The sequence below is a fragment of the Homo sapiens genome, chromosome 2 (genome assembly GCF_000001405.40).
Source record: "Homo sapiens chromosome 2, GRCh38.p14 Primary Assembly".
Lineage (NCBI taxonomy): Eukaryota > Metazoa > Chordata > Mammalia > Primates > Hominidae > Homo > Homo sapiens.
Window position 1 is genome coordinate 236195563 of NC_000002.12, and position 13782 is coordinate 236209344.

At 44.5% G+C, this 13782-nt stretch overlaps 1 protein-coding gene and 1 long non-coding RNA gene across 2 annotated transcripts in view, besides 1 other annotated feature; one reads left to right on the top strand and one right to left on the bottom strand.

Annotated features, from left to right (window-relative positions):
- The window catches only part of GBX2-AS1 (GBX2 and ASB18 antisense RNA 1), a 46784-nt gene that overhangs the window by 28121 nt on the left and 4881 nt on the right, over nucleotides 1–13782 (top strand). The window lies entirely within an intron of this gene.
- Nucleotides 1–13782, bottom strand: part of ASB18 (ankyrin repeat and SOCS box containing 18) — a 70948-nt gene that overhangs the window by 2104 nt on the left and 55062 nt on the right. The window contains exon 5 of the mRNA NM_212556.4: nucleotides 710–823. Coding sequence (NP_997721.2) covers nucleotides 710–823 — 114 coding nt within the window. The remainder of the gene's footprint in view (nucleotides 1–709; nucleotides 824–13782) is intronic.
- Nucleotides 12774–12945: a silencer, noted in NCBI's record as "fragment chr2:237116979-237117150 (GRCh37/hg19 assembly coordinates)". NCBI's record gives its function as "represses an EF-1alpha promoter that drives an FKBP-Casp9 reporter gene in an ReSE screen in phorbol 12-myristate 13-acetate-treated (for megakaryocytic differentiation) K562 erythroleukemia cells {active_cell/tissue: K562(+PMA)}" and the evidence as "EXISTENCE:reporter gene assay evidence [ECO:0000049][PMID:32094911]".

A 13782-nucleotide genomic window follows, 5' to 3' on the forward strand; every position in this document is an offset into this window, starting at 1 on the left:
TGGAGTGCAGTGGCGTGATCCCAGCTTATTGCACTCTCTGCCTCCTGGGCTCAAGCGATTCTCCTGCCTTAGCCTCCTGAGTAACTGGCATTACAGGCGCTTGCCACCATGCTTGGGTAATTTCTGTATTTTCAGTAAAGACAAGCTTTCACCATGTTGGCCAGTCTGGTCTTGAACTCCTGACCTCAAGCGATCTGCCTGCCTTGGCCTCTCAAAGTGCTAGGATTACAGGCATGAGCCACCGCACCTGGCCTGTTCTCACTCTCTTTTAATGGACAGTCACCTGTGGACTTTGTCGTGGATAGATGTAATCCCCATAGCTTCCTTGGTCGTATCTTGAGCTGCTGGAGCATGAAGCTGACTCACAGGGCCGGATTAGTATGTCCTGACGTGGAGCTAGGCCCGTGGATTCAGGCGGCTCTGGCCTTTCTTTGGACACTGGTTAAGGAACCCTCGCGCTTTTCAGGCCAGCACGGGGCTCTGAGCTCCTTGAGGCCATGGCACCGCAACTACTATAACAAGCTCCTGGCTGTGTGATTATGGAGCCTCCAGAAAAAACCAGAAACGTGCAAATACACCCTCATTTCCCATTCTTCCTTTTTCAGATGTATAATACTTAGCCGAATATCAGTGCAAAACTCCCCATGCAAAGAAGCAAAAACAGACAAAAGTTTTGTACTAAAGATGGGCAGAAAGGCAGCCCTCTTGCCTGGAATACTTCCTCAGGAATCACTTCCTTCCAGGACTCTGACAAGCAGAGCTGAGGGTAGGAGTTGAAAAGCACCTCGATGACTGCGGGGACAGATGCACAGGTCTTCAGCACCTGGTGGGAAGAGGTGAAAGACGCAGCGTAGGCCGACTGGGTTCTGGGTCTCAGTGGGGAAAGGGTGGGGGGTGTGGGGGGATGCTCTCCCTAGCTGTGTGACCTCCCTACGCCCAAGCCACACAGGGAACAGCAACAGAGCAGTACCACAGGGTTGCTGCAGGGATCACATGAATTAGTGCACACAAAGACACAAGGCAACGGCTCTGCAAGGGAGCCCTCCTTCCCATCATGATGGCCGCCCAGCCAAAGTCTGGGCCAAGTGCTTAAGCATTCAGGTTCCCAGGGGGGCTATGCTGGTGGCTTGGCAGGCCTCCTTGGCCCCCAGAGAGCTGCTCAGAGAAAAGGAATGAAGTTCTGCTAGGAGGAAGTTTGGCCCGAGGATGGTGTTCCCAATTTCTTACCTCAATTTTCAGATGTGTCAGGAAATTGAGAATTGGGGAAGAGGAATTGTTTTGCTGTTGAATTTCCTCTTGACTTGGCATTTCCGTTTTATTTTCACAGTCCCCACTGGCAAAGATTCCTATTGCCTTATTCACAAATTTATAATTCAAGTCCATTAGCTTCACCATAAAGATGGGAACACTATTTGCTTTTAAAAAATAAACTTTTTTTTGTTATGGAGAAGTTTGAACCTTCATACAAAAAAGTAGTGCCAATAGTATGATAAACTCCCATGTATCCCCGCCCCCCCCATCAACCCATGGTTGATCCTGCCCATCCACTTCTCCTAAGATTAAAGCAAATTCCATGTATCCTATAATTTTATCTGTATTTCAGTGCATCTTTTATATGACCCTTTGAAGAAACAAAGATAATATTATAGCACCTGAGAAATTAACAAGTTTCATAATATCACGTCATATACAATCAGTGTTTAAATTCACAGATTTCTCTTAAATGCCATTATATTAACAAAATAATTTGTTTGTTTGAATAATCATTCCAGTTAGGGCCGATATAATGAGACTGGTTGCTGTGATGTATTTTTAGATGTCTTTTTTGTTTCATGTGACTTACTTGTGGTGGGAACTGGGTTATTTGTCCTGTAGCATTTCTCACTGTGGGGCTTTTGCTGATTACATCCCTGTGGGATTTGTGGACATGCTGCTCTTCCTCTGTTTTCTGTAAATTAGTAGTTGGATTTAGAAGCTGGACCAAATTCAGTTGCCAGGCGCAGTGGCTCAGCACTTTGGGAGGCTGAGGCAGGCGGATCACCTGAGGTTGGGAGTTCAAGAGCAGCCTGACCAACATGGAGAAACACCGTCTCTACTTAAAATACAAAAATTAGCTGGGCGTGGTGGCACATGCCTGTAATCCCAGCTACACGGGAGGCTGACACAGGAGATTCGCTTGAACCTGGGAGGCGGAGGTTGCGGTGAGCCGAGATTGTGCCATTGCACTCAAGCCTGGGCAACAAGAGTGAAACTCAGTCTCAAAAAAAAAAAGAAGCTGGACCAAATTCAGATTCGATTTTGGAGAGGGGCAGGGCAATTTCATAGCTCTCTCTTTTTGAGGTCTAAGATTTGCCAAGTGTTGTATAATCGTTCTTTCTATTTCTTGGTTGAGAGACCAGAGGTTATGCAACTTTTCTAAGCCCAGCTACCATATATCTGCAGCAATGACCTGAACCACTACCGGGGCCTGCCCTGCGTCATGTCTACTGGGGCTCTATGGACACAGAGTCCAACAAAAGAAAGTATTGAAGTCACTCATGGAGGCTGCTCACTTCACAACTTGCCTCCCTTCTCCACAGCTCCAGACCTAAAACCCCTTTAAAATACAAATATGACAAACTAAAAAAAATTCATATTCCTCTGGCTAGAGGTAACTACTATTAACATTTTGTGTATGCTAATGTTTTATGTGTTTAGACAGAAAATTAATATATATGACAACAATGGGTGAATGCTTTGCATATGATTTTGAAATCTGATTTTTTTCCATGCAGAATAGATTGTGAATCTATTTACAAGCAATTATCCTTTTTTCTTTTTTTTTTGGATGGAGTCTTGCTCTATCACCCAGGCTGGGGTGCAGTGGTATGATCTTGGCTCACTGCAACCTCTGCCTCCCAGTTCAAGCTATTCTCCTGCCTCAGCCTCCCAAGTAGCTGGGACTACAGGCAGGTGCCACCACACCCGGCTGATTTTTGTATTTTTATTAGAGACAGAGTTTCACCATGTTGGCCAGGCTGGTCTTGAACTCCTGACCTCATGATCCGCCCACCTCAGCCTCCCAAAGTGCTGGGATTACAGGCGTGAGCCACTGTGCCCAGCCCAATATGGACTATTTACTTTTGTTTTGTTTGACCATTTGTTTTTCTTCCTTTGTGAATTGCTCAATTATGTCTTTTGCTCATTTTTCTATTGGTGTGTTCATTTCTTCACTGATTTGTAAGTACATTTTATTTATTAGGGTTATTTTCAGGTAGACAATAATTTTGCAAATAATGATATTTTTTTCTCCTCAATATTAATATTTCTTGTCTTATTACACTGGCTAGAGCTTTTCAGTTCAATGCTAAATAACAACATTAATAGCATGCATAATTATCTTATTCCTAACTTTAATAGGATTGTCTCTAATGTTTCACCATAAATATAACCTTGAACATTAGTTTCAAATAGATACCCTGTTCTAAGTTAAGAAAATATCTTTCTATTCCTAGGTTACTACAAAGTTTAAGATGTAATTTCATTTTTTGCCTTTTTCTAACCAAGTTGATAGAAAAAGATTTTCCAGGTCGGAAGTGGTGGCTCATGCCTGTAATCCCAGCCCTTTGAGAGGCTGAGGTAAGTGGATTACCTGAGGTCAGGAGTTCAAGACCAGCCTGACCAACATGATGAAACCCCTTCTCTACTAAAAATACAAAAATTAGCCAGGCATGATGGTGCACGCGTGTAATCCCAGCTACTTGGGAGGCTGAGGCAGGAGAATCGCTTGAACCCGGGAGGCGGAGTTTGCAGTGAGCTGAGATCATGCCACTGCACTCCAGCCTGGGTGACAGGGTGAGACTCTGTTTCAAAAAAAAAAAAAAAAAGAAAAAGATTTTCCAATACTGATCCATTTTTGCCTTCATAAAACAGGCCCTATTTGGCTATTCTTCTATATTTAATATACATATTATATATAAAAATATAAAATGATAATATCACTATATATCAGAGAGGGATATATATGCTATTATATATACTAGATCAGGCTAGATCTTCACCGTATCTATTAATAAGCACACTTTTCTCATTTGAAATAGTAGAGTATACATAATACAGTGCCAGACTCAATTTACTAAGATTTTTAAATCTCTTAATAAATTTGGTTTATAATTTTTTGAGCTATTTTTGTCAAGTTTTAACATCATTTTATGTTAACTTAGTAAAACTATCTGATAAAATTTGTTTTTTTTTTAATACTTGGGAATATTTTAACAAGTAGACCATTATTGGAATCAGGAAGGCACAGTAGATCTTGCATTTGACATTGTCTATGCCTGGCATTTAGCTGCAGGTAGTAATTTGATAGTTTTCATTTCTTTCATGGTTATTGGCACATTTTATTTTGATTTCTTCTTGAGTCCATTTTGTTAATCTATATTTTCCTGGAAAATAATCTTCATTTTAAAGAAATTTAGCATTGCATAGATAACAGTCAAGGTCCATTAGAAAAGAGATGGAGAAGCCAGGCACGGTGGCTCACTCCTGTAATTCCAGCATTTTGGGAGGCCGAGGTGGGTGGATCACCTGAGGTCAGGAGTTCGATACTAGCCTGGCCAACATGGTGAAGCTCCATCTCTACTAAAAATACAACAAAATTAGCCAGGCATGGTGGTGCACATCTGTAGTCCCAGCTCCTCGGGAGGCAGAGGTAGGAGAATTGCTTGAATCCAGGAGGTGGAGGTTGCAGTGAGCTGAGATCATGCCACTGCACTCCAGCCTGGGCGACAGAGCAAGACTCCGTCTAAAAAAAAAAGAGATGGCGAGTTCGATATGGGATCATTCCAGAAGTGTTTATTGATACAGGAACTATTTAACCAGATGTGGGTACAAGGAAACTGACAAGGGTCAGGGCAGCAATGTGGGGTCGTGGCAGAGGTATTACCACCCTGGGCTGAAGGGCCAGTCAGGTGAGCTGTCGTAGCAGAAGCAGCAGTCCTCGCTTGGGGATACACAGCTAGCCTGAGGCAAAGAGCCAGCCCAGAGAATGCATGTTCTGCCCTCACTCTCCTTTCCTCCCTCCTGCTGCCGGGACACCCCACTGGCTATACCCAGCTGGAAGGCAGAGGGCCGAGAGCTGTAGAATGAGGTCCATACGGATCCATAAAGGTGGAAGGAAGAGATCTTCACTCTATCGATGAATAAGCACCCTTTTCTCATTTGAAATTCACTGTAATTGTATTTTCAATGCTTTTTTTCCTGTTTAGTTTTGCTGAAGGTTTTTCCATTTTACTCCTTTTTTCAAGAAATCAGCTATTGGATTTTGTTGATCAGTTCTCTTTTAAAATATTATAACCCATTAATTTTTGCCTTTATCATTATTAACTCCTTTCTCCTATCTCCTTAGGTATGTTTTGTTTGTCTTTCATGCTCCTTGGATTGACTGCTCAGTTAATTTCATAACATTTTTTTCCTAGAGTCATAATAAAGGCAACTTTCAAAATGGTATAAATTTCCCTTTGAACGTTGGTAGGGTCATAGCCAAGAGTTTTGAGGCAGTGTTCCCTTCCCTCCTTCCCTCCTTCCTTCCTTCCCTCCTTCCTTCCTTCCTTCTTTCCTTCCTTTTTTGAGACAGGGTCTTGCTCTGTCACCTATGCTGCAGTGCAGTGGTGTGATCATGGCTCACTACAGCCTTGACCTCCTGGACTGAAGCGAACCTCCCACCTCAGCCTCCTGAGTAGCTGGGACTACAGGTGCATGCCACTATGCCAGGCTAATTTAAAAATTTTTTTTGTAGAGACAAGGTCTCACTATGCTGCCCAGGCTGGTTTTGAACTCCTGGGTTCACGCGATCTTCCCACTGCAGTCTCCCAAAGCGCTGGGATTATAGATGTGAGCCACTACACCCGGCTCATCTTTCTTAAATAGTCTGCAGTTAAATAACTGTTGAGGCAGTAGTTATTTGAGAGTGTGCTATAACATTTTCAAATGGTTATTTTTTAAAATGAACAGACTTTTTACTATTAATTTTCTGGTATATTGCAATATGGCTGTAGACAATGTCTGTTTTGGCACTAGCAGAAGTCACATTTCATTTGGTTCAAAATATGTTTGTCACATTTATGATTTGGAGCTACTGCACTTCATTTTTTTTTTTTTTTGGCTCACTTGGTCTGTGATAGATATGAATTAAGAATCACCTAAATTATTTTTCAGTCATTTTCTCTGTTTTAACACAATCTTCTTTGGCACATAAAGTTTATAATGGTTATCTTTTCACTATGGGTTATATCCTTGGTCAATATCAAATGAATATTTTTTCCCCTCTCATTTTGTGTATTTCCTTGGAATTCTATTTGCATATTGATATAAAAGTACATTTTTTTTTGCCAGAATTATCTCTGCTCATTCTTTAATTTTTTTTTTGAGACAGAGCCTCACTCTGTCACCCAGGCTGGGGTGCAATCACGAGATCTTGGCTCACTGCAACCTCCATCTCCTGGGTTCAAGCAATTCTCCCGCCTCAGCCTCCCGAGTAGCTGGGATTACAGGGACCCGCCATCATGCCTGGCTAATTTTTTTGTATTTTTGTAGAGATGGGGTTTCACCATGTTGGCCAGGCTGGTCTTAAACCCCTGATCTCAGGTCATCCACCCTCCTCGGCCTCCCAAAGCGCTGGGATTACAGGTGTGCGCCACCACACCTGGCCTCATTTTTAAATTTTAACCTTTTGTTTCACTTTGTTTTAAATGTATTTGAGAGTCTGTGTTGGTAACAGGGTAGTTTAAGCAATTTTCATTTATTATCATAAATCAAGCGTTTGGTCTCACTCTGGTCTCACTTTATTCTTTTTGTTTTCTGCTTCTTGTTTCCTTTGTTTTCCGGTTCTGTTGTACATGTTTGTATTTTCTTTGGATTCATCTTCCGTATTTTGGAAGTATGCATTGTCTTTAAAATGCTATTAGTTACCTTCAAAATAAAAAAAAATATCAACCTAGGCCTCATGCAGTGGCTCACGCCTGTAATCCCAACACTTTGGGAGGCTGAGGCGGGTAGATCACGAGGTCAAGAGATGGAGACCATCCTGGCCAACATAGTGTGGTGGCATGCACCTGTAGTCCCAGCTACTCAGGAGGCTGAAGCAGGAGGATCACTTGAACCCAGGAGGCAGAGGTTGCAGTGAGTTGAGATCACGCCACTGCACTCCAGCCTGGCGACAGAGTGAGACTCCGTCTCAAAAAAAAAAAAAAAAAATATATATATATATATATATACACACACCTATAGTTCTCTAAAAATCTAAATAGTATCTTTTATGTTCCGGATATGCCATCATCCTTTCTCTTACATTTCTCTCTTAACCAGTTCTTCTCCCTTCCTTTCTTAATAATACTGGAGTTTTAGTTCCAGGTTGTCATTATTATATGATCATATTTATATTGCGTATCTCCTTCAGTAACAATTTTGGTATTTGCATTTAGTTTTACAATGTGTTTCCCAATTATTTGTCCCTGTTATAGCTGGGTTGTATGCTCACCACCTGTCCTTTAAGCCATCCCTTCTGTAGGTATTTGCCGAGCTCCTACTAGAAAGCAGGGATTGTGTTATGTCTGCATGTTATGATGGCCAGCTCCACCTTCACAGAGCTTTACAGTCCCAAATATAACAACAACAATACAGTGCTGTGGTCATATGAGGGGGAGTTCAGGGGAAGATTTCTGGAAGAAGTGACATCCAAGCCGAGACCTGGCTCTGGAGCAGGAGTTAGCAGGGGGAAAAAAAGGCATGGAGAGTTCTGGGGACAAGAGTGTTCTAGGCAGAGAAAACGTATTATGCCAGGTTTGGGAGGTGAGAAGGAGCAAATAATGTTGGCTGGGGCATGAGTCTGACATGGGGAGTGCTCGGAAATGAAACAGGAGAGGAAAGCAGGGAAGACCATGGAGTCCATTATCTGCCTGAGAAGGAGGCTGGCACAGGGAGCACTTGCCAGGTATGAGTGGAGGAGAGGCTGGGTCTGATTTTAATTTTAGAAATATCACCAAGGCTGGGTGTGGTGGCTCATGCCTGTAATCCCAGCACTTTGGGAAGCCAAGGCAGGCAGATGACTTGAGTCTAGGAGTTTGAGACTAGCCTGGGCAACATGGAGAAACCCTGTTTCTACAAAAAATACAAAAACTTAGCTGGGTGTGATGGTGTGCATCTGTAATCCCAGCTACCCAGGAGACTGAGGTGGAAGAATTGCTTGAGCCTGGAAGGTCGACGCTGCAGTGAGCTATGATTGCACTGCTGCACTCCAGCCTAGGCAACAGAGTGACACCCCCTCTCAAAAACCAAACCAAACCAAACCAACCAACCAACCAACCAACCAACCAAACAAGGACATATCACCAAGGCTGGATCTGGGGAATAGTTTAGAGGAGACAGAGAGCCCAGTGAAGAAGATGTGTCCATCTAGGGGAGAGATGGTGGTGGCCTCACCTCAGGTGGTGGCAGTCAGGAGGGTAGGAGATTTTGAGATATATTTAGGGGGAAGAGTGGGGAGAATCTGGGGATGGATTTCCCCCTTCCTGAGCTCTTCGTTAGTGTTATCTCTTTGTCAGCTGGAGTACATCTACCTCAATGGGCCATTAGCCCCAGCCACTCCCCCATACTGTCCTTACCAATGGCACCAATGCTGCTCTTGGCCCAGGCTCTGCCTCGCCAGTGGTCCATGCTCTGCCTCACTTTACTTGCTGTGTCAGCCACGCCTGACATGTTGACGATGTCTTCCACCTCAATGCAGCCTTCACTTGGCTTTGAGGAAGGTGTGCTCTCATTCCTTCCACCTCACTGGTTGCCCCTCCTCGGTTTCCTTAGCTGCTGTCTCATCTCCGTCCTTCAGATGTTCGACCATCCCTGCATTCAGGCCTGTTCCTCTTTTCCGTTTACTCTCACTTGCTGGTGATCTTATCTGGTTTCCTGGCTTTAAATACCATCCTTTGTCACTGACCCTCAAAGGTATATCTCCAGGTTGGCCAAATCTCTCCCTCTCAAACTTTGGGCTTCGATATCCAGCTGCTTACATTGTAGCTACACCTGGCTGTATCCCACACTCAACATACCAAAAACTGAACTCCCTTGTTCACCAGGTCCCAACCTGCTGTGCCACCCATAACCTGCCCCATTCCCAAGTGATAGCAAACTCATTCTTGTAGTCTCTTGGGCTGGAATCAGAGTCATCCATTGCTCCTGTTTCTCCTACACTCCACATACCAAAAACTGAACTCCCTTGTTCACCAGGTCCCAACCTGCTGTGCCACCCATAACCTGCCCCATTCCCAAGTGATAGCAAACTCATTCTTGCAGTCTCTTGGGCTAGAATCAGAGTCGTCCATTGCTCCTGTTTCTCCTACACTCCACATCCCATCTGTTAAAAAATCCTGTTGGCTCTACCTCCAAAATATATCCAGGGTCAGATCGCCTCCCTTGTCCACACCACCATCACCCCTCCTGTGAATCACAGCAACACCCTCCTAACTCATCTTTCGACATCTGTTCTCCTCTTTCTCAAGCATCTGCTTAACATGGCAGATGTTAAGAGGAGGATCTTTACAAAATATTGTTGGATTGCGTCACTCCTCTGCTCAAATCCCTCCAATGGTCAAAGTCATTACAATGTCCTGTAAGACCCCACACAACCTGTGCCCTCTCCCTTACCACCCCTAATCTCATCTCCTACTCCCATCCCACTAGCTCCTTCCATCTCCGGCCACACTGGTCCCCTGTGGTTCTGTGCGCAGGGCTGGCCCACTCCAGCCTTAGGCTACAGATGGCTGGTCCTCTGCTGGGCTGCTCTTCCCCAGACATCCACACAGTGGGTCCCTCACATCTCTCAAGTCTTTGTTCAGCAGTCACTGACCCTAACTGCCTGACTTAAAATTGCAACTGCCTTCCACCCTTTTAATTTCTCTATAGTCCTTATCACTTTTTTGGTCTGTTGATCATGCTCAATATTTAATGCCTGTCTTCCCCATTAGAATGTAAGCTCCACATAGGCAGGAATACTTCTTTCCCCTTATCTGTTCACTCACTTATCCTATGTGCCTAGTATATTGCTGGGACATGACTGGTGCTCAGCAAATACTTTTTGATAAATAATTGAAGTATTTTTTCTTTTTCAGAAAATGCATTAGAAAGGCATGTTTTATGAACCCTTGATATCTAAAAGTGTCTTTCATCATCAAAATGAAAGTATCTTCACTGAGTCTAAAATTCTAGTGTCCAAATTTTCCTTTCAAAATCGGTGGATGATATTTCATTGTCTTATGTTACTATTACAGCAGAAACATCTGAGTCCAGCCTGGTTTTTATTCCTTTATGAATAGCCTGTTTTCTGCTTAAATACTTTGCCAGATTTTTCCATGTCTTTTTAGAACATTTTTGTTAGAATGTATATAGGTATGTGCCTCCTGTCATTGATTTGCAGAGAACACCCTTTTCGATTGCCAACCAAAAGTTAAGACTTTCAGTGCAGCTAAGTTTTCTTCTATTATGTCTTTGGTTATTATTTCTGATCCATTTGTCCTAGGCTCCTTCTGCAGTAACATCACTTATCTGTGGGTTGGCTCTCTATCCTTTATTACCATCACTTTCTCTTTTAGTTTCTTGGGTTTTTTTTTTTTTTGCACTTAAGAATAGTTTTTGTCATTAGTATTTCATTATAGTGAACACTGAGGTTGACTTTCCAACAATTCAGATGATTAGTTTAATCCAATCATGGTAAACCAATCTCCTTTGCCAGTTATTGGTTCAGAGAAGGGTAGGTTTAAGCCAACTGAGGACACCTCCTCAGGGTTTCTAGAAAAAAGGAACAACAGGATATGAACAAGGAAACGGGCCCATTGTTGCTGGAAGCCATCTTGTGACCATGAGGGAGGCATTCTGAGGACAAAGCTGACTCACTGAGGTTGGCAGAGCAGAGAGTTGGGAAGCACCAGGTTCTTTGAGGACATCATCCAGACACTGAAACAACCAATTCTGAAGCCTGCTACTTCTGCACTTACTGTTATATGAGATAAAAAGATGCATTTCCTTATTTAAACCTGTTTGAATTGGGTTTTCTGCTACTTGTGATTTAAACCACCTGTATCAGAGTCCAATCAGGCAAAGGAAACCACTCTAGGTATTTCAACCAGAAACAACTTTACACATGGAATTGGTTACGTAGGTAATCAAACTGCTGAGATTCCAACAAGGGGAAGGTGAAGTAGCCTAGAGATTAGCGAAATAGAAAGCTGTCATTACTCTTAAGAGTTGGTGGGATAGTGGGATGAGGTAGTCTAATCAGAGTCCAGAGACCAGGGCCATCCGCTGGAAGCAAGTTGAGTCAGGGGCTACCCACTGGGGACTGGGGCCATGAAGGGAGGGACTGTCTGGTGGGTGTTGGTGTCACAGAGACGATGCAGGTGCTGCTGGTGAAGCTACACAAGACAGAGACAAAAGAGAGAAATACCCTGGTTTCTTTCTTCCTCCACACTCGTTTCCCATGGTGTCTCCCATTGGCTGAGTCCGACTAGAAGCCAGCTGATGGGGGCTCTGAGTGCAGCTTGAGGGGGCTTTCCCTTTCCCCCTGTCACCCAGGATGCAGAGCAGGACCCAGGAACAGCAGGAAAGGGTCTGAGGGCACACGGGCCAATGGCCCAGCACGGATTTGATTCTTTCTTTATGAATCAACTCTGCCTTTTCCTTCTTTAGTGTATACTTCAATCTGACTGTGCTGTTAGTTTCTTGGTGTAACTATCTCCTCCATCTTCCTTTTCATGTCATTCTATTGAGTTTTCATCTTAACCAGTACTGTTTCGATGAATCCCACAAGCTATGTCTTCTTGTACTCCATAGAGGATGGCACATACTTTCTGAGATTTTCTTGGATCTCCTGTTTTCTGGATGCTGTTCTATTTTTCGGTTTGTCCTCTTTTCCCCCATGAATCTATTCCTTTTTCTCTTTATTAGTCTTTGATTAAGGAGAGAACCAGATGCAAATTTTGCCAACATGCAGGGGAAGTCTGTGGTCCTACTCTGTGCCCAGCCGGGAGACGTGGAGGGAGGGGGACGAGGGCCTGGCCCAGCCCCGTTCCCGGTTGGACGGTTTGCCCGGTGGACTTGAGCTTCGGCCTGGAGGCTTCTTCCTGCTACCCTCTTCCTGGCAGTTGGCAAGTTGCTCTGAAAGCTGGGTTCCCCCGATTTTCACATCTGCACTTTACTGTGGCTTCACAGGCTTCCCCCACTGCCTGGCTGACTTTTTTTTTTTTTTTTTGGTAATGTCTGCCTGACAGCCTGGAAACTTACGGCCGTGCAGCAGAAGGACATTGGGTCTGGGTCTTCCTAGACTCAGACATGAGGTTGCCTTGTTGCTGTGGATTTCCTCTCTCTCTTTCCCTCCTTTTCTTTCTTCCTTCCTCTCATCTGTGCCTTCAAAGCTATCTTTTGGAGGACAGGAGCTGTTCTTTCTAGACTGGGCATCATATCGACATCATAAGAGCTATTATCGGTGGTCCCCTCCCCATGCCCAATTATTTTTGTTCTCATCCATTACTGTCACTGAGTCAGGCTTGGCAGGCTTTACGGAAAGAGAGAGACAGAGCATGAACACGGAGACACGGAGAAACCAAGCCACAGAGGGAGTGCCTGGCAGGAGGCCTGGGGCCAGCACGGTCTTCCCAGCCCATCTCGCCAGCCCTGTCCCTCTCTGCGCCCCACACATGTTGATATTTCTGGCTCACACGAGCCCCACTAACATGCCATTTCCTCGTGCACGGCAGTCTCTGATTTCAATCATCCCCTTCTGTGTTGGGAAAAAAATCACGCCATTAAGAAGGACTCACGCTGGACCCCTCGGGATGGAGTCTGCTGCTATTTATCTGGTACCCTAGGCGATGCTCAGGTCTTGCTCACTGCAAACCTCCAGCGACCCTCCCACTGGCCCTGTCACTTCTCTGCAAAATGTTAAATGGCTCCCAGGGACTGCAGGTAACCCGGACATGCCCCACCCTGGGAAGAGGTGCCCTCCATTAGAGCAAAAGCACCACCTCCTCCCGCCCCTCCCCCACCGGGTCACAGACTGTGACAGAGTCTTATTGCCTGTCTCTGGGAATTCATTTTCTGTCTCTCCTCTGTTCCACCTCTCTGGGGCTCCCTGCCCCTCCCCGTCCTCTGCATCGTGCCCCCTCATGTTTGCCAGGCAGCTGGCTGCCTTCATTATTTTTACGCCAACACAGTTTAAAAATCTCCGCGGCCTCCTTGCTGTCTGCGGAGAGGCGGCTGCCACATTACTCTGACATGCTGATGTCATTAGTGTCCACGCACACCACACTCTCTTCAGCTAATGAGGCGGCAGAAAGAAAATTAAGGGGAAAAATCACACAGGCACATTGCTTTATATGTAGATGGAGAAATAAAACGACAGCAAGAAAAACACAGGCGCCCTACTTATGATCTCCCCTCTCTCCTCCCACTGGGGACTGGGTGCACGCAACTCTGTGAAGATGGGAGGGGGAGCCCTGGTTTTTGACTACTGCTACTCCAGAAATCTCCCACTAAAAATCCTGTGGAATTGGGATAAGCGAAGTCCCTTTACCTGATTTAGTAATTAGGTAAAAAGAAAACATGAAAACTTTAGGTCTCCATTTTCAGTATGGTTAGTGCCCAGAAGCTGAGACAAGACCAGAGATTTGCAGATGTTTCTAGAATCTGCTTTTTTTTTTTTTTTTTAAGACAAGGTCTTGCTCTGTCGTCCAGGCTGGAGTGTAGTATTGCAATCATGGC